The sequence below is a fragment of the Homo sapiens genome, chromosome 13, assembly GCF_000001405.40.
Source record: "Homo sapiens chromosome 13, GRCh38.p14 Primary Assembly".
In the NCBI taxonomy this organism is placed as follows: domain Eukaryota; kingdom Metazoa; phylum Chordata; class Mammalia; order Primates; family Hominidae; genus Homo; species Homo sapiens.
Genome location: NC_000013.11, coordinates 98,819,777 through 98,838,645, shown reverse-complemented (window position 1 = coordinate 98,838,645; position 18,869 = coordinate 98,819,777). Strand labels below are relative to the sequence as shown.

Below are 18,869 nucleotides of genomic sequence, written 5' to 3'. Positions count from 1 at the left end.
CAACTTGTATGTCAAATTGCATTTATATCAGTACTAAACTGATTTTGCCACATATAGAAGATATCCGTTTGTATTTAAATTAGGTGTGACTAAGCTAAGTTTAAATGACAGATTCTTCAAGTCCTTTTCTTTTTCTAAACATTTCTTTCAGACATGTTGGCTTTTATGCTTTTTCTTAAAGCAAGTAGAATACTATGCACAGCGCAGTCAACTCTTGATTATCATTCACGAGCTTGCTGATAACATAGCTCCTGAAGTTATTGACTTAACACCTCCATAGCGCTCAATGTGTGCCAGGCACTGTTCCAAGAGCTTCACAAATATTAACAAATTTAATCCTTACCACAACCCTTTGAGGTAGATACTGTATTATCCCCATTCTACAGATGAGGCAGCTGAGGTTATAAAGGGGCCAAATAACTTGCCAAGGCCACACAGCTGGTGAGTGGCAGAGTGGGACTCAGTGACCAGCAGCCTGATCTCAGGCTCATTTTCTTAACCTGCGTTGTGCTGCTGCCTCCGTCTACATGGGAAGCTTTGGAAATCTTAGCCTCTGCCAGCACTCCTGCTGGATAGCAGAATCGATCAATGCCTGTCTTGGTCCAAGTCCTGTCTCCACTGTTTACTACCTGTATGACTTTAGACAAGTTTAGCCTTTCTGTGCCTTCATTTCCTTATCTCCACCAAGGGTTCAACAATCTTCATACTTCACAGGGCTGTTGAGGGATTAAATGAGAGAATATGTGTAAAGTTCATAGAATCGTGGCTGGTACACAGCAAGTGCATAATAAATGTTTGCTGTGGTTATTGCCCTTTCAGAGTGGGAAAAAAGTTATAATTGTATTGAAACATTATTACTACTTTCTCCCTTCCTTCCCCCTCCCACCCCGCCCCCCACCCCAAAAAAAAGGCAAACACAGAGACAAGGTCCCAAAGTGGGCCTTCTGAATAATCAAAAGTTGACTGTGCCTACCGCATCCTGCCAGCCTTGCCTTCTGAACCACTGGGCAGTAATCTTGTGTTGTAATTCATGCAGGCTATGGCCACTCGGACGCAGATGTTCTGCACCAGTCATTACTTGAAGCCAACATTGCTACTGAGGTTTGCCTGACAGCTCTGGACACGCTTTCTCTATTTACATTGGCGTTTAAGGTTTGTATCAATTTGCTGTTCGTGGTTCTAGTTTTACCTTTCACATTCATTCTGCTTGGTAAGCTCAGTGAGCACAAACTTACTATGTTGCATTTTTACTTCAGCAATTATTTTTGTCCCTGTAAGGAAACCATTAATCTTTAAATTCCTTTAATGAAATCATTCCACAGTGAATGGCTTGAATGCCCTGAAATAAAATTTAACTGGTCAGTGTGTGCTGCGCGCTTGGGTATGGTGGAAACACGGTCTCTGGAGGCAGTTAACTCTTGGCTCGAACCTTGAGGATGGTGAATATAGGCACCTAATCAGGCATTTCTGCCTTGAATATCTTTAAATATATCCAAATGTTATAGCGTTTAATTAGATTTTTATGTAGAAAGGAGCAATAAACACAGACACATGTTTTCAGTTTTTTATCTGTTACTGCATTAAATGATAAAAACGTTTTGGAGATAGAAAATGAAAGGGGTTTTTTTTTTGTCTTGTTTTTAAGTTTTAGCAAATAATATTCAAGTAGGTGGAGATGGACTCTTCAGCCACTCTCCTGTTTTTAGGAACCCAATACTTCTCATTCTTGCTAAATGATTACTTCCATTTCTAGCATAGAAAGGAGAAATTGAATGAGTGTTTATATGCCATAAATATTGGAACAGTTTGCTTATTTGCAAGGGTGTTTGGGAAATAGGACCCAAGTCATTCTCTGCTTTACTTGTCTCCACTACTCATAAAGCACATTCCTTTATTAGGAAGAATAATGAGAGTTTTCCTGACATCGTGTCCCTTTATTATTATATACCTTTACTCTCCTTAGCCGCCACCCCTCTCTTGTCCCCATGAAACTCATTACTAGGAGCCCAGTTGAGAGACTGGGAAATGAGAGCTTAAAGAAAATGAGCTCGGGGTAGAAGCGCCTCATTACCTGGAGCCTCTACTACAGGGGCTCTCAGAGTGTGGTATCCGGGCCAGCAGCCACTGCAGCCCTGGGAGCATGTGAGAAATGGAAATCCTTGGGCCACTCCCCAGACCCACTGGATCAGAAACTCTGGGTGTGAGACCTGAACATCACAGTGCCTCTACTAGAAACATGAAAGAAGCTTCGGAGCCTCTCTTTTCTTTTGGGTATTTTTAGTTAAAAATTCTTAGTAAATAGGCAAGGAAGGTTTTAAAAGTGAATATCTGGCCATGCACACCTGTATCAGTCTCAAACATGAATCATTAAGTTCAGAACAGCAGCAGCAACACCTTCTTCCCCTCTCCTCCTGTGCCCCACCAGGTAAATAAGCAGAAAATTCTGGAGCTGCAGAGCAGTATCATGGGGTGAGCTACAGGCACACGGGGCACAAGTGCAGTCTGAGTGGCACCTGTGAGAACAGTGACGGTTTCCTTACTGAACAACTGAACAGCCTGCAGTTCTAATTCAGCCCCCTTCAAGTTGCTTGCTTAATAGTAAAGAAGAGGGGCCTGGTGAAGTGGCTCACACCTGTAATCCCAGCACTTTGGGAGGCCAAGGCAGGCGGATCACGAGGTCAGGAGATCGAGACCATTCTGGCCAACATGGTGAAACCCCATCTCTACTAAAATGCAAAAAAATAGCCAGGCATGGTGGCGTGCGCTTGTAGTCCCAGCTACGGGAGGCTAAGGCAGGGGAATCGCTTGAACCCAGGAGGCGGAGGTTGCAGTGAGCCAAGATCTCGCCACTGCACTCCAGCCTGGCAACAGAGCAAGACTTCGTCTAAAAAAAAAAAAAAAAAAAAAAAAAAGAGTTGTAAAGAAGAGTATTTGTCACTATTCCTGGATCTCTAAATATCTGGCCTCCAGTCTCAGAATGGGAAGGTAGTAGGAGTTCAGATGTGAATTCCAGGTTGACAGTAGCACTGTTACCTGTGTTTGCTCCTCACTGGTCCTGTGGCAAAGGGCCTGATCCCTGAGACACCCAAGGAAGATTGAGCTTCTAGAGCTAAGGTGATCTCTGTGCAGGTTTATATGCCTGCATGCAAAAAATGTTTCCTGTTTAAAGCTCACCTCCCCCCAGCTGGGAGGTGGGCGAATGTATGGTGCACTCTCTGGCATTACTGGATGCTGGGCCATGTGGTAAGACAGGCTTCCCTGGCTTAGACTCACAGATACGAGAGGTCCATTGGCACCGCAGCCACTGGGATCTTTCTTTGCAAATATTTACTCAGGCATCAGTTGGACCATATCAGAAGAGATATAACAGTGAGTGAGCTGATATAATTCAAGAAAGTCATCTTTAGCAGGTGTAGCTCTGTGGTTACTGACTCTCTTAATTGGCCACATCTAATAAATTGCCAAAGACAATCCAGAAATCAATCTCCTAATAAGATAAAATGTTTGAAAGGTTTAAGCTCAGAATTCTGGTATTATTATTACATGAGCTTCCTGCTATGTATTGAGTGCCTTCTGTGCCTCAGGCATTAATCTTCACAACAGCTCTGCCTGGTAGATCGAATTATCCCACATTTTACAGATGAGGAAGTCGTGGCTGGGAGAAATTAGGAAATTTGCCCAAGATCACTACACAACTGACCTGTCCAAAGGTCTTGTTCACCACTAAGACAGATGTGTGTGAGTGTGTTTGTGTGTGTGTGTGTGTATGAGAGAGAAAGATGAAGTGAGTTGAGTAAAGATCAAGGTATTTGAATGATCTCTTATACAGACAGAAGAAGAAAATTACCAAACACTTAGCAGGTATCAGATATATACAAATCTGGACATGTTCACACATGTTATCTCACTTAGTACATAAAAGGGTTTGTTTTATAAACAGGTTGTCACATGCAGAAAAATCTGGTTTTTCTAATGTCTATTATTAACACAATCCCAAACCAATGCTGGACTTCAAGTAGTTTATAATATTTTTAATGTGTTCACAGATTTAATCTGGAAATGTGTTTTTAGCAGTTCCATTTTTAGTGCCTCTTCTTGATTTGAACTGCACAGTGAGGACTAACACATAATCAGGAGCAATAGGAACCAAGACAGGGAGGAGCACATGGGCACCGGAGGCTTGCGAGGCAGCTTGTGATCTGCTTTGCACAACAATGAGCCTGGTCGGCAGACACATGAGGCTTAGGTCGTCTTAGTGATTGGCAAGCATCTGTAACAGAAATGGCTCTTCTGCAAACTGATTTTTTAACGTTATTTTAAAATAATTGTGTACATAAAACTGTCTGACTGGGAAGAGTTTGCCGTCTTAAATTAACTTCGTTCCAGTTACCTCATTTTGACACCCGAGATTTGTTTTCCTCTGTGTTCCTGGATCTTTTAGAAACTACTGATACTGAGCATTCATTTTCTGAAAGGCTCATCTCTTGGATTAAGCACCATAAGAGACCATGTTACAATGGTCAAACCTGAATCCAAGACAGAGAATTCCTAGAGAAGCAGTCTCCACTGTATTGCTAGAAATAAGCCATGCCTTTATATTATTCTAATATGTCATTTACTTTCCTAAGTGAAAATTTCCCATCTTCAGCAAGAGTTTATAGGGATAAAAAGATAGAAATAAGAAACCCTGCCTTGTTATCTGTGGATATTTCTGAGTGGAACAGTTAAGGGTGATTTGTGTTTTGCTCTTTTTGTCCCCTGTGAGGCTTTCTGAATGTTCAAAGATGTGTTTGTATTTAGTGTATGTTACCTTCTATGTGATGAGAAGGCAGCAGGGAGACACAGAAAAAGAGGGAAGAAAAGTGATTGGAAAATAAAAGCAAGTAGTTAGGAAACCGGGGTGTGTCTGGGACAAAAGGTCCTTTACCTGTTTAAGTGGAGGTTATTTACGTCTTTTTAAAAATAAATTTTATTGTATATATTTGAGGTTTACAACAGGTTATGGGATACATAATGTAAATGAGCTTTAACTCCATTCTTGCAAACAAGTTTTGAGATCAGGGCTGAAGAGGACTGAATCCTGAAAATGAGAAGTAAAGGCCATGACCATAGAGAGGAAAAGGAGGAGAAATTGAACTGAAGTAGAGAAACATGGGAAAGGTGGAGAAACATTAGAAACATGGGCCAGTTCAGACAGCAGAACTTGGAAGCTTGGGAATTTTTGTAGAAACCGTATCTCCTGGATAGCCTCAGCAAAGAGTGCTAAGAAATGAAAGCTCACCTCCAGATTCACCCAAACCTTAATCCAGTCATAATTAGGAATGTAAATTCATTGGAGGAAAGCAAGGCTTTCAAACTACAGCTCCTGAGAAAATGGCATTCATAGATAAAACTTGTAAGCAGTTCCCCAAACACTGGAAATCTTTTTTTTTTTTTTTTTTGGTTGAGAATTAGATCATGGTTGAGAACTAATTCTCATGGTTGAGAATTAGATCATATTCATTTAATTAGTCCCACTTTCTGCTCATTAAATTGCTCCCCTTTCACATGACGGAATTCAATATGGTACCTTAGTATTTCATGATAGAAAGATCACTGTGAATTCCAGGTGTTCTGCCAGCTGTGATAGATTCACAATTCACTGGACCTAAAAAAAAACAAAAACTTACTCCTTGAGGAAAAATTTCCCTCCAACAACAAGACAAGGTAGATCTTGCTCTGAAACTATGACCGCAACCATAATTTGCTATGTAGCAAAATTATATGGACATAAGTTACCCCTGTTCCGTTGGCCAAATTGTAAGATTGGTTTGAGATACTGGCCTCTTGACATTTTTTTTTATTAATGTCAAATCTGCCTACTTGTGCAGAATGCACACACCTATCGTTCCCCAACAGAGCTTTGTTCAGACAGCTTGTCTGTATTGGAAGGTGGTGGTGTGTCATTTAGTGTTGTGCACATTAGACACGAAGTTCATCCTGGCTGCTTGCTGGGCCACACCTCTAGCTGCTGTGTATATTCTACAGTTGATGGGAGTTGTAGCCAACCAGGCTTCCAAAGTGTTTAATTTGTGTGAATTTTCTACTGACATGAGGAAATCTTGAATGACTAGAAGCAAATTGTAGTCTTCTTGTTTTCTTTGATAAGTAAAATCCACGAATGTCAAAACCCTACTAGATGCCACCTACTGAGCTAGACCAAAGTATGCGTCAGATGGTTTCTACACTTGATCTCATGTCTTCACAGTCGCTGTTCAAGGTCAGTTTTAGGGTCATCATTTTACAGATGAGGATGCTGAGACTCAGTTTACCTGTGCAAATTCATGCCTATGATAAGTGGTACCTGACCAAAGCCTGTACACTTTCCACCTTACCAAACTCTCTGATTATTCATAGCTTAGCAGAGTGCCTTAGAGGCCTGGGGAGATCACTTTTCCCTTTTCGAAGACCTGTTTCATATACCTTACTTGAGTACTTTTTCCCATCTATAATTATCGCATACCTGTGATGGCACTTCTCTGTTGGAATTAAGATGTCACAAATGGCACCTCTGTATCAGCTGCTGGTGGACAGTAAAAATGAGTACATATTAATAAATAGAAGCCCAGTCAGTACTAAGCAAGTGTTCCTTTCAACTCTGTTAGTTTGCTGGGAGGTTCATCCCCAAAACATAAATGTATTGATAGATTTGCTTGTTCTACAAAAGAATTCTGTACTTTCCTAGAGGATTCAAGGCAGAGTTTGTTTAAAGTATAAGTTGTCTTAATACTTAGAAAATGTAATTCTTGAGCCTGAAATTGTGTGAAACCTACTAGAGGTGACTGGTATGTCTAACAAAGCCGTCAATGTGTGTTTTAAGAACCAGCTCCTGGCCGACCATGGACATAATCCTCTCATGAAAAAAGTTTTTGATGTCTACCTGTGTTTTCTTCAAAAACATCAGTCTGAAACGGCTTTAAAAAATGTCTTCACTGCCTTAAGGTCCTTAATTTATAAGGTAAGTTGCTTCATGGGCAGTGGTTAGATGTTTTCCTTCTTCCCCCGGAATTGAAGGGTACATTACCGAGCACTGACCTGTCTGTGGTTTATCTGCTGCTTCCTCTCATCCTGTCTAGTTTCCCTCAACATTCTATGAAGGGAGAGCGGACATGTGTGCGGCTCTGTGTTACGAGATTCTCAAGTGCTGTAACTCCAAGCTGAGCTCCATCAGGACGGAGGCCTCCCAGCTGCTCTACTTCCTGATGAGGAACAACTTTGATTACACTGGAAAGAAGTCCTTTGTCCGGACACATTTGCAAGTGCGTGTGGTTTAGCTTTCCAATACAGATTTACTCTGTAGAATCCTGCTGTATCAGGAAAACTTTGAGTATCACATTAACCAATTTACCTTGTCATAAAGATACTGCAAGATCTGGAAAACTGGGAAGCCACGTTTGCTGGCTTGGTTTATTTCATGTTCCATTACTATAAGATATGGGCCTGAGATGCGTTTCTGTTGGTAAATTGACATTTAAATATTGAATCAATATTGGACTGACTAAAATTCCATTGAATCAAGAAGTGTTAGAACCTATGTGAGGATGCTTAATAGTAAACATTTTAGGTAAGGAACAAGAAGCCCAACCTAAGTGGTTCTTTTCTGTCCTCTATCTGCTGACACATCTGCTATCTCTGCAGAATTAAAGCATCCTAAATTCTCTGCTCTGAGAGCCAGCCAAGATAATGACCAAACTTGTGTATTTTTGTAAACTCTCTTTTTCTACAAACACATGGTAGGTGTCCCTTTTCCATCTCTGTATTTAACCCTTTTTTTAAAAAACAATATTTATTGTCCACATAGGATTCGTGGATACAACCATGAACAAAACAACCCTCTCCCAGCCCTCATGGAGTGTAGTCTAATGGAGGTCACAGACAAGCTCTGGAACTCTGAGAGTACAAGTGTGACCACTGTTATTGTAGAGGAACTTGAGTGTATCAGGAGGGGCACCTAGAGGATGTGAAGGATGCATAGGGGCTCATGGTTGAAGATCAGTGAGCATGTTCCAGGCCACAGTGAACTACGGGGAAGCACCCATCTGGGGAACTAGAGATGTTCCTTACTGCGGAGTTTAGAATATGGGTGAGAAGGAGTTGAGGAGGACCCATGGTGGCATATCCAAATCATTGCATATTTGGACAGATCTTCTGGACTCCTGTGTTGATGATGGGTCAAGGGTAGTCTAGACCTCAGCTAGGGAGACCATTGTCAAAGCTAGGTCAGAGAGGATGGTATCCTAGACCAGGGATGGTGAGGTAAGAAGGAAGAGGAGATTGAGTTGACAACATTTGGTGACTGATTGTAACTGGGTGTGGTGAAGGAAAAGGAAAATAAAGATGGCCTCCATGCTTTAGCTCAAGCAACTGGGTAAAGGCAGTGCTATTCATTGAGCCAAAAAAAGACAGAGCCCCCTGTGGCATAGTTAATCTATCCATGTTCTGATAAAGTATTGCAAAGGACAGTCTACCCATAGCATATTTAATACATTTAAGTTCAAACTGAAAACTGAGAAATAAATCATGTCTCCCTCTTGGTTAGAGAAGGTAATAGGTAAGTAACTATCCAAGTGGATGGGCTTATCTCATTTTCTTTCTCCCTTTGCTCTCCTGATCAGCATTTTGCTTTGCAAACAGTGTTTTTTAAGGATAGCAGAATCACTTTCTGTAATTATTCTTAAAGGGGAAGAAAATACCTCAGACATTGTTTCCTACACGGAGCGACCCCTGCTCAAAGCACCCCCCAACCCCCACTTTGCTGGGTCCTTAGGCACATCCTAACTGAACGCAGAAGCCCAGCCTGGGCAGTCATTTGAAGGTAAATTGATTTGCTCATGTTTGTGTGTCCCTAAGGTCATCATATCTGTCAGCCAGCTGATAGCAGACGTTGTTGGCATTGGGGGAACCAGATTCCAGCAGTCCCTGTCCATCATCAACAACTGTGCCAACAGTGACCGGCTTATTAAGGTGGGTAGCCTGGCCCATGTTAGTTTCACCCTGAGACTCTGCATCAGCACCTGAGGTGCTTGTGGACAGGCAGCAAACAGAGGAAGCCATGTGTCCTTTCCTCTTCCACCCTTGTTTTAGCACACCAGCTTCTCCTCTGATGTGAAGGACTTAACCAAAAGGATACGCACGGTGCTAATGGCCACCGCCCAGATGAAGGAGCATGAGAACGACCCAGAGATGCTGGTGGACCTCCAGTACAGCCTGGCCAAATCCTATGCCAGCACGCCCGAGCTCAGGAAGACGTGGCTCGACAGCATGGCCAGGATCCATGTCAAAAATGGCGATCTCTCAGAGGTAGTAGCCCTGCCAGCCGCTTGAATGGGTTTTTGAAAAAACCAGTGAGGCCCCATTCACTTAAAAAGCCAGTTTTGAGAAAAGTTATTCCATTAATCAAAAACCAATTAAAAGTATGCAAAACTTTAAACAGTATGAAGCTTAGGGTGACTTCATAGTTAGCTGAGCATTTTAATAATTTAAAACAAATTGTAAGGGGTTATTTTTGTCAACAAAGAGCATTGTTTAAGCTCTTAAACCTATTCATACAGTCTCCTGCTAATTAAAATACACATCAAAATTCCTCTGTAGTTCTAAAATTCAGCTATTTTATGATCAAATGAATTCCTCCTGTTATTTAAGGTAATGACAGGTGTTGCTTTCTCCTCTGTAGGGTAGTCCATTTCCTTTTGTGGATGCAGTAGGTATTCCAGCATTCCCTTCTATGCAGAGCTGACGTGTTTCAATATGTAGACTGCATGGCTGGGAGTTGGGTGTGTGGGCTCCAGTACAAGTAATATTGGACTTTGAATCCAAGATCCAATATTAACTAACTCTGTGACATTGAGCCAGTTTTTTAACCCCTCTATTGCTCAATGACATCATCTGTAAAATGGGGAATTGAAGAAAACAATTGGCTGTAAGGCAGTCTGTGCGCCTAGGAGAACTCATTCAGTGTCTGTGCCTGAGATGTTTAGCTATGATCAACATTATTACAATAGCAAGCAAGTTTTGACTTTTAAACTTTTATAACTGTTTGAATTAATAAACATACTCTAAGTCTGAAAATTTTAACTATTTTTACATATTTATTTTTCAAGGAGCTCAATATGCTAAAAAGTACACATTAACGTGACAGTTTTGACTATAAATTTAATGTAAACCACACATTGGCCATAATAAAAAGGAATAACTAAGAGAAGTAACTTTTCTATCATTCTAAGAATTTAAGATTCTTTAATGACATATGTGGCCTAGGTCTCAAAAAAAGAAAGGAAGAACTTACTAAGCTTCAGCTGTTCCTCTGTGAATTAGTTTTACATGGCTGCCATAACAAAGTACCCAGACTGAGTGGCTTCACACAGAAATGTATCCTCTCACAGTTCTGGAGGCAGAAGTCCAAGATTGCAGTGGCAGCAGGGCCACATCTCCGAATGTCCTTGGGGAGAACTGGTTCCATGCCTGTCCCTGAGCTCTTTGTGTTGCCAGCAGTCTTGATGTTCCTTGGCTTGTAGCCACATCCCTCCAGTTCCTGCCTCCGTGGTCGCATAGCATCCTTCCCCATATGTCTATGACACCAGTAATGTTGAATTTAGGGCCCACCACACACCAGTATGACCTCATCTTAACTAATTACACCTAACAGAGCCTGTTTCCAAATAATATCACATTCTGAGGTCTCAGGGAGGCCATGAATTTTGGCGGGACACTACCCAACCCAGTATACCCAGTGAATAAGGGACGAAAGCAGCTAATTTATAAGATTTCTTATTGCCCTTGCCGTGTCTGGTTTTGTGTGTGTGCTCAGTAACCCGTCATGTACTTTCCTGCCTGTTCAGTGCATGTGACCCTGCTTTGTACTGCAAGAGGGACACACGTGGGAGGCATGAACTCTGCCTCCGAGGACTGGACAGTACATAACTCCACTCTCCAACAGACTTCTCTCTGCACACATCAGAGTGCATGCCACGCTGCTAACATTCGTTGACACACGTGCACGTGGAGCAGCCTCTGCTGGTGTGTGTTGGCTAGTAGCTAGGGGTGAGGGTCTAGACGAGGGCACCACGTGGTGGCGCTCACCCCGCTGACAGGCACAGAACCGCATGCATTAGAACCTTGCAGGGGGTTCGCTTCTAACAGCTGTCTTTGATCTTTATAACACCATGGCAATTTGGTGAAAAAATTTCTTTTTTCTTTCAATTTAAGATACGTATAATGTTACCTATTTGAGATTAAATTATGATTTTTATTTAGAATTTTATATTTGGAAAAAATTATAACTTGCTCTTAATTTTTAAGTCAAGCGAAAAATATATTAGCACCTGAAATTTGAGCCATTCTCTCAGAATCTAGGGAGGAGCACATGTTTTCTTCAAAGCATCCTCTTTTCGCTTTGAGAGAAATGATGCAGAAGTATTAGGTATAGTAAGAGGAAAATGCTGCTTTTATCTTTTACTTTACAAATGTAATAATTCTATATAGAAAAAAGCCTTAGCAAATTTACTGCCATTTATCTCAACTCCCAATTAATTTCAAATTTTCAGCTTATGTGAGTGATTCCACTCTCTTCAAAAGGTAAGATATCAGCTATTAGAAATACTAGCTGGTGCATTGAGATCTAATATATACGTTCATACATTGATTAGATTTCTGTCTGTGTGGGAGCATTATGACTTGCTGTTATGAATGATGATTCTGAGGCATGTGTCTTCTATTATAGGCAGCAATGTGCTATGTCCACGTAACAGCCCTAGTGGCAGAATATCTCACACGGAAAGGTAAGGAATTATTCTCATGTTTTGTGAAATTAATTAGTATAAAACCACACAAAGCAGCAGACAAGTGAGAGCCATTCAGGAAGATTGGAAGGTGGGGATTTGTGTGTTTGTGAAGTGTATTCGTTGTTTTATCCCCTGGCGTGATGTTTGCTTGAATTGGTGGGCACAGCAGAAATTGCCAGGACTAGACAGAAAAGTAGATGGCATGTTGTCATGTAACCTCCTCTGATAGCTTCACTCTGCAAAAACTAGCTAATGAGTTTTGCATCTGGCCAAATCTAGAGCTAAGAAGATACTATTTTTCCCTTAAGATAGTTCCCACTAGAATGTTTAGGCAATCAAAAAGTTGTAACGGGAGATTATCAGACAGCATTTCTGCAACGCAGCCCAGCTGGCTTTATTGTCTAAGAAGGCAGCCTTTCTGATGGAAACCTTATCTCCCAGAGGAAGGAGAGGGGGCGAGGAGTGACGCTTCATTTGTGCACTCTCCGTTTGTGCCCAGATGAGCAGGCCATGAATTCTTTCACAGTTTCCCTTTGGTTAAACAGCAGGTGCTCATTTCCACTTCAAAATCAGCACAGCCCCAAATGGTGACATTTATTTTTAGAATACTGAGGTTCTTAGAAAAGCTGGTAGTCTGCGTGAGTTACATGGGAGAAAACAGCAGCACCAGATCTGGGCTAATGAGGAATAGATGTACGAAGTGAGAAATAGTGTGAAACCAAAGATGCCGAGGCCACAGACTGTATATTTCTGGTGCAGCTGGCTATTTGGAATGAAACAGCAGAGCCCCAAAGAGAAAAATTTTGAAAGGGCTCCATGTTCATTTAATACCGGTACTATTTCCTGTTGAGACCTTTTATCAGGTGATGCATTTCCTCATGTTTAGAAGCAGTCCAGTGGGAGCCGCCCCTTCTCCCCCACAGCCATAGCGCCTGCCTGAGGAGGAGCCGGGGAGGTGAGCCTGAGGATCAGCCCAGCCCCCGGGGACCCCCTGCCCTGGTCACGTGCCCTCCCGTGGTGGGGGATTTGCCCTTTTAACTTTGCATGGACAGACTTCACTCTCCTTCCCTCCTACTCTGTGGCTCTCTGGTTGGCTGGTCTATTCCTGTGGGCACAAGAGGAAAGCACCTTGGCCACCATTTTTGTTATTCCATTGGCTCCGAGTTATGTGGTGAAATGTACTATATAGCCTAGAGCATGGGTGGTTGGTTTTTTTAATTTTACAGTTTGTATGTTAATGTATCCTCAAGTTCCTAGATTAATGCTTTTCATGGGAGACTCTTGTTTCCATATAACAAAATAAAAACTAAACTGGGATAGTGGCAGATGCTGGATAATCCATGAATAGTGTAGAAACCTGGGATCATGTGCAGCAGAAAAATCTCTGACTTCAGGATCTCCGTTTTCAAGGCTTGATTTCAGAATACCCTGTGTTCCTCTTTCTCCCTAAATGTAGAAGTCTCAATTCAAGTTTTTACTTCTGTTTTATTTTATTGTGAACAGTTATCTCAAAATAGAGTAGTGGAACATCTCATGCCCTTCTTCACTTGATCATTTTGCATAGCTGACGTGGTCCAACTGACTTAAAGCTGTTTTCCAGTGACTCTAAGACGAGGAAAGGTCCCAAATGGGCTGTCATTGCTTAAGAAACACATCCTTATCCCAGACATTGATCCTGCCTCTAAGCTAACACCATTTCCTCTTGGAGAATCAGAGTGCCCAGGCATCCATGCCCTCTGTTGATGCAGCCAGCCACCCACCCCGGGGCCTCTGGGGTGGGAACCAGCTAAGGCAGCCTGTCTGCTCACCATTATGGCTACGAAGCTACACCTGGGTTGTGTGGGGAAGCTCTCATCTGAGAGATGTGTTCTTCCCTGGCCAGAGTGGGTGAGGTGACAGCTTGAAGGAAACAGTTCTTTTTGAATCATACATTTCTCTTATATTGGCTTTGCCTTTGTTTTTCTTAGTATCTCAGCACGAGTCATCCTACCAAGACAAATTTTCACTTATTGTTATTTTACTATTACTTTGATTTAATACCTATTTCTCAGTTTATAGTTTAATATTTAGAGATTGCATACATTTTAATAAAGGTAGATAAAAAGGGATAAGGAAAAGAAAGTGAAAGAGGTTAGGGTTCACTATAGGGAAGAAAAGCACACAGTAGCCCCAGGTACCCCCGTGAATGCTGGCCTGGTGCCTAAGAGATTTCAAAATCCGTTATTTCATTCAACACAGAAACACACAGGGCAGGAAAAACCCTCAGGGTTCACCCACGTTCAGGTTCCTAACTCTGACTGTCCCTCCTTCCTCTCTTCCTAGGCGTGTTTAGACAAGGATGCACCGCCTTCAGGGTCATTACCCCAAACATCGACGAGGAGGCCTCCATGATGGAAGACGTGGGGATGCAGGATGTCCATTTCAACGAGGTGCGTGCTTGAACTCATGTGGGCTTTCAGGTACTGGGGTATCTGGGAGCCTGCTGTTTGCATTGCTAGTGCATCAGACCAGGGCTTTTTCCTCCCTGTAGCTGCTACTTATACACATAGCTCTAACTGAGATGATTCTCCAGACAACTGATGCAGAGCAGCAAAAGCTTCTGCCGTTCTCCCCTTCTAGGAGTGTCTCCTTTCTTTGGAAAGAGATCATGAGGGGCTAGATTGTAATGAAGTGAGGCTCAGTGCTTGAGCACATCCGGTAAAAGTTCCAATATATTGGTCATAAAGTTTCTCATTCTTTATAGCAGTTAATTTCTCTGGCTCATGAGTTTTCTTAGTTTTAATCTGACTTTTAAATTAATGTCTCCAGCACCAGTCATATCCCCAGGGCAAACTCAAAGGCATGAGAGGCCAGACTCGGGTCCTGGTCATAGCAACCCCTGTCTAGGGCCTTGGTCCCTGCCTCCGCTTGTGTGCTGTGGCGCAGGTCCTATGGGCCCTTAGGAAACAGGACCACCCTGTCGCACCCCCTACAGAGACCAGCAAGTTTGACATTAGATCACCGTAGCAATGTCTGCAAATTCCAGTTTCTTGCTAAAACAGGTTAGCCTTGCAGCCACTTATCTGTAACTGGCGAGTTTTGACATAAAACTAGATATTTGAATAAATGCCAGTTTTCTGCTGGCATTCACTCATTCACTCTGTTTCCTTTTCCATGCCTATCTGCCTGAAGGGTTCTTTGTGTGTACCTGCCTCCCTTCAGCCCAGGGCAGAATGAAACAGCTGAGGGAAAGCTTTTTAATCCTGCCCATGTTTTAAGGAAATTGAAGTTGTCCAATTTCTCCCATGGAGTGAAAGAGCAAGCCAAGAAAGGAGTCAGTCTCTTCCGCCTCTGCTGCACCTGCTTCATCCTGATTTCCAGGGCCACAGCGGTGTGGCATACGGTTGATACTGGGGCTTTTAACCATTCTCATGCCAGGGAGGCAGGCCCTTGAACACACATCCTCATGACATGAGCTAGGCCATAAGTCAGTGGTTCTCTAAACATGGTCCTGGAACCTTTCAGTGAGTCTTTGAGGCGGTACTCTTGCTACTGAATGTCTATGAGGCTGGGTTTTCTTTGTACGCAATGACCCAAACAGCCTGTCAAACAGGCTGTGTGCAGAATGGATGCACATTTGGGCTTATCTTGCAAAATCAGACAGTAAAGAGAGTTGTAAAAATGGAAAATACTACTACTCTTCACTCTTTTTTTTTTTGGAAAAAATATCCTTTTTTATTTACAAATGCTATTTTTAAAATATGTAATAGGCTTATTGTTTTCATTAAATTAATAAGTAAATCTTAATTTTGTTTCAGTTTTCATATCTAGTATTGTAAATATTGAGAGAGAACAGTCACATAAACTTTGAGGTCCTCAATAATTCTTAAAATCTACGAAGGGGTCTTGAGCTCAAAAAGTTTAAGAACCACTGTTGTAAATTGTCTAGTCTCAAATGGTCCTCAAAATTAAAAACTAAGCATGAATTAAAAGGATAACATATTGAGTGTACTTCATGTTTAAATATTAAGATAATTTAAACCCCAATAAAGTTTTCTAGGTATCCTACAAAAAAAGAAATAGATTGGTTATTACGTGGTTTTAACAGTTCTGCTGTTTCTCCACCTTGAAAGGCCTGGGTGGATGGTCTTTTTTGTTTGTTTGTTTGTTTGTTTGTTTTACTTTTTACTCTCAAATATGAAACCTGCCACTGAAGGATCAAGGCCCACATACTCTTGGCTTTGAACTCCTCACTTCAGGCGAATTTCAACTGAGTTTTTCTCTGAGAAGAGGCATGACTGCATTGTCTCCTTGCAGAAACCACCCTGGCACCTCTGCCGAGTCAGACCTCTGGAGTGTACCATTTTGTTTGGAATTAGATAAGGAAAGCAACGATGCCAGGAACAATTAAAGATTGGAAAGTAGACTATTTTTAGTGACCTATCCTGCAGAGCTGATAAAATGAAGCTTGCATTTGCTCATCTGATTGAGTAACAGGCTGAGATAGTTATTATGTTAGAGCCTAATGAATTAGCCTGTGAAATCAAGTGCAGACAGCCTTGGGGAAATTGTGAATGGAGTCCCCTCTAAGTAATAACTAAGCCTGTGACAAGGACCCCTTTATCAGCTATTTTCAGAAGACGGATTCGTCACCTTGTCCTTGAAGCATAAACTTAGTAAATCTTTAACAAGGTCCATAGTACATGACAATCTGTGGTGATTAGGATGTGACACAGCAGGGTTATAAAGTCCTGAGCAAGCCTTGCACATCCAGATTGAAACTAACGGGAAGCAGAAAGACTAACATGTTCTAAAAGACAGGAAAGCAGAAATTACCAGGCACGTTTTTGCATTGGCTGCCAGGATGTTGCAAGAAAAAGAGAGATGAAAATCTCTGCCAGAGAGGAAGGACTTTGGGGAAAATCTGGTGGGAGATAAGTGTATAACACAGTTGAATAAAAATCATTGCCCTTTTCATCTACATTATTAGATATAATTAAATGCCTGAGATGTTCTCTAAAGTGACTTTAAGGGACGCTACCTAAAAATACTCAATTCTCTTAGCAGCAGGTCTCAGATGAGTTTTTATTGGCACCAATTCCACCTTCCTTGATTCTGAGCCGAAGAGCAGACTCCTTTCCAGCTGCTTTTGATTAATAAAGAGAAACCTCCAATTCCTATTCACAATTTTGTTTTGCAAGACTGAGCCTGTGTAGATTGAAGAATTCAGAGTTTCCTGTGGTGTCAAAATTCCCCATGGCCCATGTAGTTCTGAGATCCCTCCCTTGTTAACGAATGCAGTACCAAGGTCCTGGAAGGATGCAGGTAGCATAGTTGGGAGATTGAAGAAAGTCTAAGAAAGGAACTGTTTTTAAAAGTTCAGAGAGGGTTTAGGGAAGCCAACAAGGGATGTTGCAGTGCCCCGAGGTTAGCAGCAGCTGGGCGTCACCCCTTAACCTTAGGGAGAAAGGGAGAAATTACATAGAAGGACCACCTGGCAGGACCTGTGAGCTTTTTAGTAAAGGACTCCTGAGGGCACCCACGCAGGGAGGAAAGGAGTAACTGCCCACCTCACTCTCCTCCTGCCCCCCAGCCTCCTACTGGGGCCTATCCTTGGCCAAACTCAACAGCAACCAGACAGGAAGTCACCATGCACGAGTCCTGCAGTGTCTGCTTCTCAGAGCAGAGCCCAGGAGAACAGGGCCCAGAGGAGCTCCAGAGGGAAAAGTAGAAAGTACAGGTGATCCTCATTATCCACCTATCTGCTGAAATTTCTTTGTAGCCTCCAAATCAATACTCCTTGGTACTTTTGTGGTCATTCAGGGATATGTACAGAGCATCAAAAGATTTTACCACTCAACTATGTTTCCAGCTGAGGCCGAACCAGGCAACACTCTGCTTCTTGTTGCAGCTCTCATCCCATTGTCAGAGGTGTTCAAACCAGACTGACTCCATCTTGAGTGAGGGCTAGGAAAATGAGGCTGGGACTTGCTGGGCTGCCTTCCCAGAAGGTCAGGCATTCTGAGCCTCTAGATGTTTATGGTTAAGGGATCAAATTAATAATGTTTACTAGACAGACCCAGACTTGAGAGTGTCTAGATATCTCAATATCTGGAGAAGAAAGGCGTTCCTGATTTTTCTTTAAAGCTAATAATATCGATTTTTGCAAAATACAGTAATTAAGAAAATTAATCCTTTATCACAGATCCTCATAGCAGAGCACATCTCCCCATATATACGAGTAATGTACCTGGGATGGATGTGTTCCTCCTCTTACTTTCAGGAACAGCCTCCTCTGTCTATGGAGTAGCTGTACTTTGACCACTTTTTACTTTCTTAATAAACTTGCTTTTACTTTGCACTGTGGACTTGCCCTGAATTCTTTCTTACACTAGGTCCAAGAACCCTCTCTTGGGATCTGGATTGGGACCCCTTTCCTGTAACACCATGAACAGGCCCCCTTTTGGTGGTCTACTTTATGCCATGTTTTTCACATTTGTGTGGATTTTGTTGGCGGTTTGCTGTTTAGAATGGCTTTCTGGGGTTCCTAAGTGCAAGAACACTGCCATGTGTAAGTTACATAAGCTTTGTTCAAGTGTGAGTTCTAGTGCTGTTGGCTATATATTTAATGTTAATGAATCAACAATATATATTTAGTTAGATGTCTTTAAACAAAACACATAAAACAAGTGTAGGTATTGATTGGTTAATGAAAATGTTGTAACCAGAGGCTCCCAGGAACTGAACCTTGCATTTTCCCTAGGAAGCGGACAAGTATTCACTAATTCACAGTGACTTTATAGAACATAACTACCTCAGATGACGAGAACTGACTGTATCTAGCACACAAAACTGTTGTTTTACAGAACAGCAGGTCTTGCCATTGCAGAATTGCTGCTGAATGTAATAAACATTATATGAACTTAACTAGGCCAGTCTCTGGCTTCTATTCGTCAAAATTGTTTCTATTCAGGAATAGTTGCCAGTAAGAAGCATTAAGTGTTTATATCCATAGACTATCCCAGGAGATAGAGACATCAACAGAACATATTCAGGGATTACTGTTTACGT

The 18,869-nt window shown here is 42.0% G+C and overlaps 1 protein-coding gene and 1 long non-coding RNA gene across 42 annotated transcripts in view, besides 1 other annotated feature; one reads left to right on the top strand and one right to left on the bottom strand.

Annotated features, from left to right (window-relative positions):
* The window catches only part of DOCK9 (dedicator of cytokinesis 9), a 295,191-nt gene that overhangs the window by 249,974 nt on the left and 26,348 nt on the right, over positions 1-18,869 (top strand). For 23 of the 41 annotated variants that reach the window (XM_047430231.1, XM_047430235.1, XM_006719931.4 and 20 more), the window contains exons 39-46: positions 1,037-1,152; positions 6,860-6,997; positions 7,116-7,298; positions 8,890-9,003; positions 9,124-9,339; positions 11,759-11,816; positions 12,706-12,774; positions 14,142-14,248. In XM_047430231.1, the coding sequence (XP_047286187.1) occupies positions 1,037-1,152; positions 6,860-6,997; positions 7,116-7,298; positions 8,890-9,003; positions 9,124-9,339; positions 11,759-11,816; positions 12,706-12,774; positions 14,142-14,248 (1,001 nt within the window). The remainder of the gene's footprint in view (positions 1-1,036; positions 1,153-6,859; positions 6,998-7,115; positions 7,299-8,889; positions 9,004-9,123; positions 9,340-11,758; positions 11,817-12,705; positions 12,775-14,141; positions 14,249-18,869) is intronic. The other 18 variants (XM_005254035.4, XM_006719937.4, NM_001318849.2 and 15 more) reach the window with 1 other exon arrangement.
* On the bottom strand, positions 4,017-6,562 carry DOCK9-AS1 (DOCK9 antisense RNA 1). The gene is made up of 3 exons (NR_046663.1): positions 6,503-6,562; positions 5,570-5,647; positions 4,017-4,270 (listed from the first exon to the last, which is right to left on the bottom strand). It is a non-coding gene; the product is annotated as a DOCK9 antisense RNA 1 (long non-coding RNA).
* Positions 17,300-17,800: an enhancer, noted in NCBI's record as "H3K27ac hESC enhancer chr13:99473100-99473600 (GRCh37/hg19 assembly coordinates)". NCBI's record gives its function as "activates a minimal SCP1, AML or CMV promoter by ChIP-STARR-seq in primed H9 embryonic stem cells {active_cell/tissue: H9 hESC(primed)}" and the evidence as "EXISTENCE:reporter gene assay evidence [ECO:0000049][PMID:30033119]".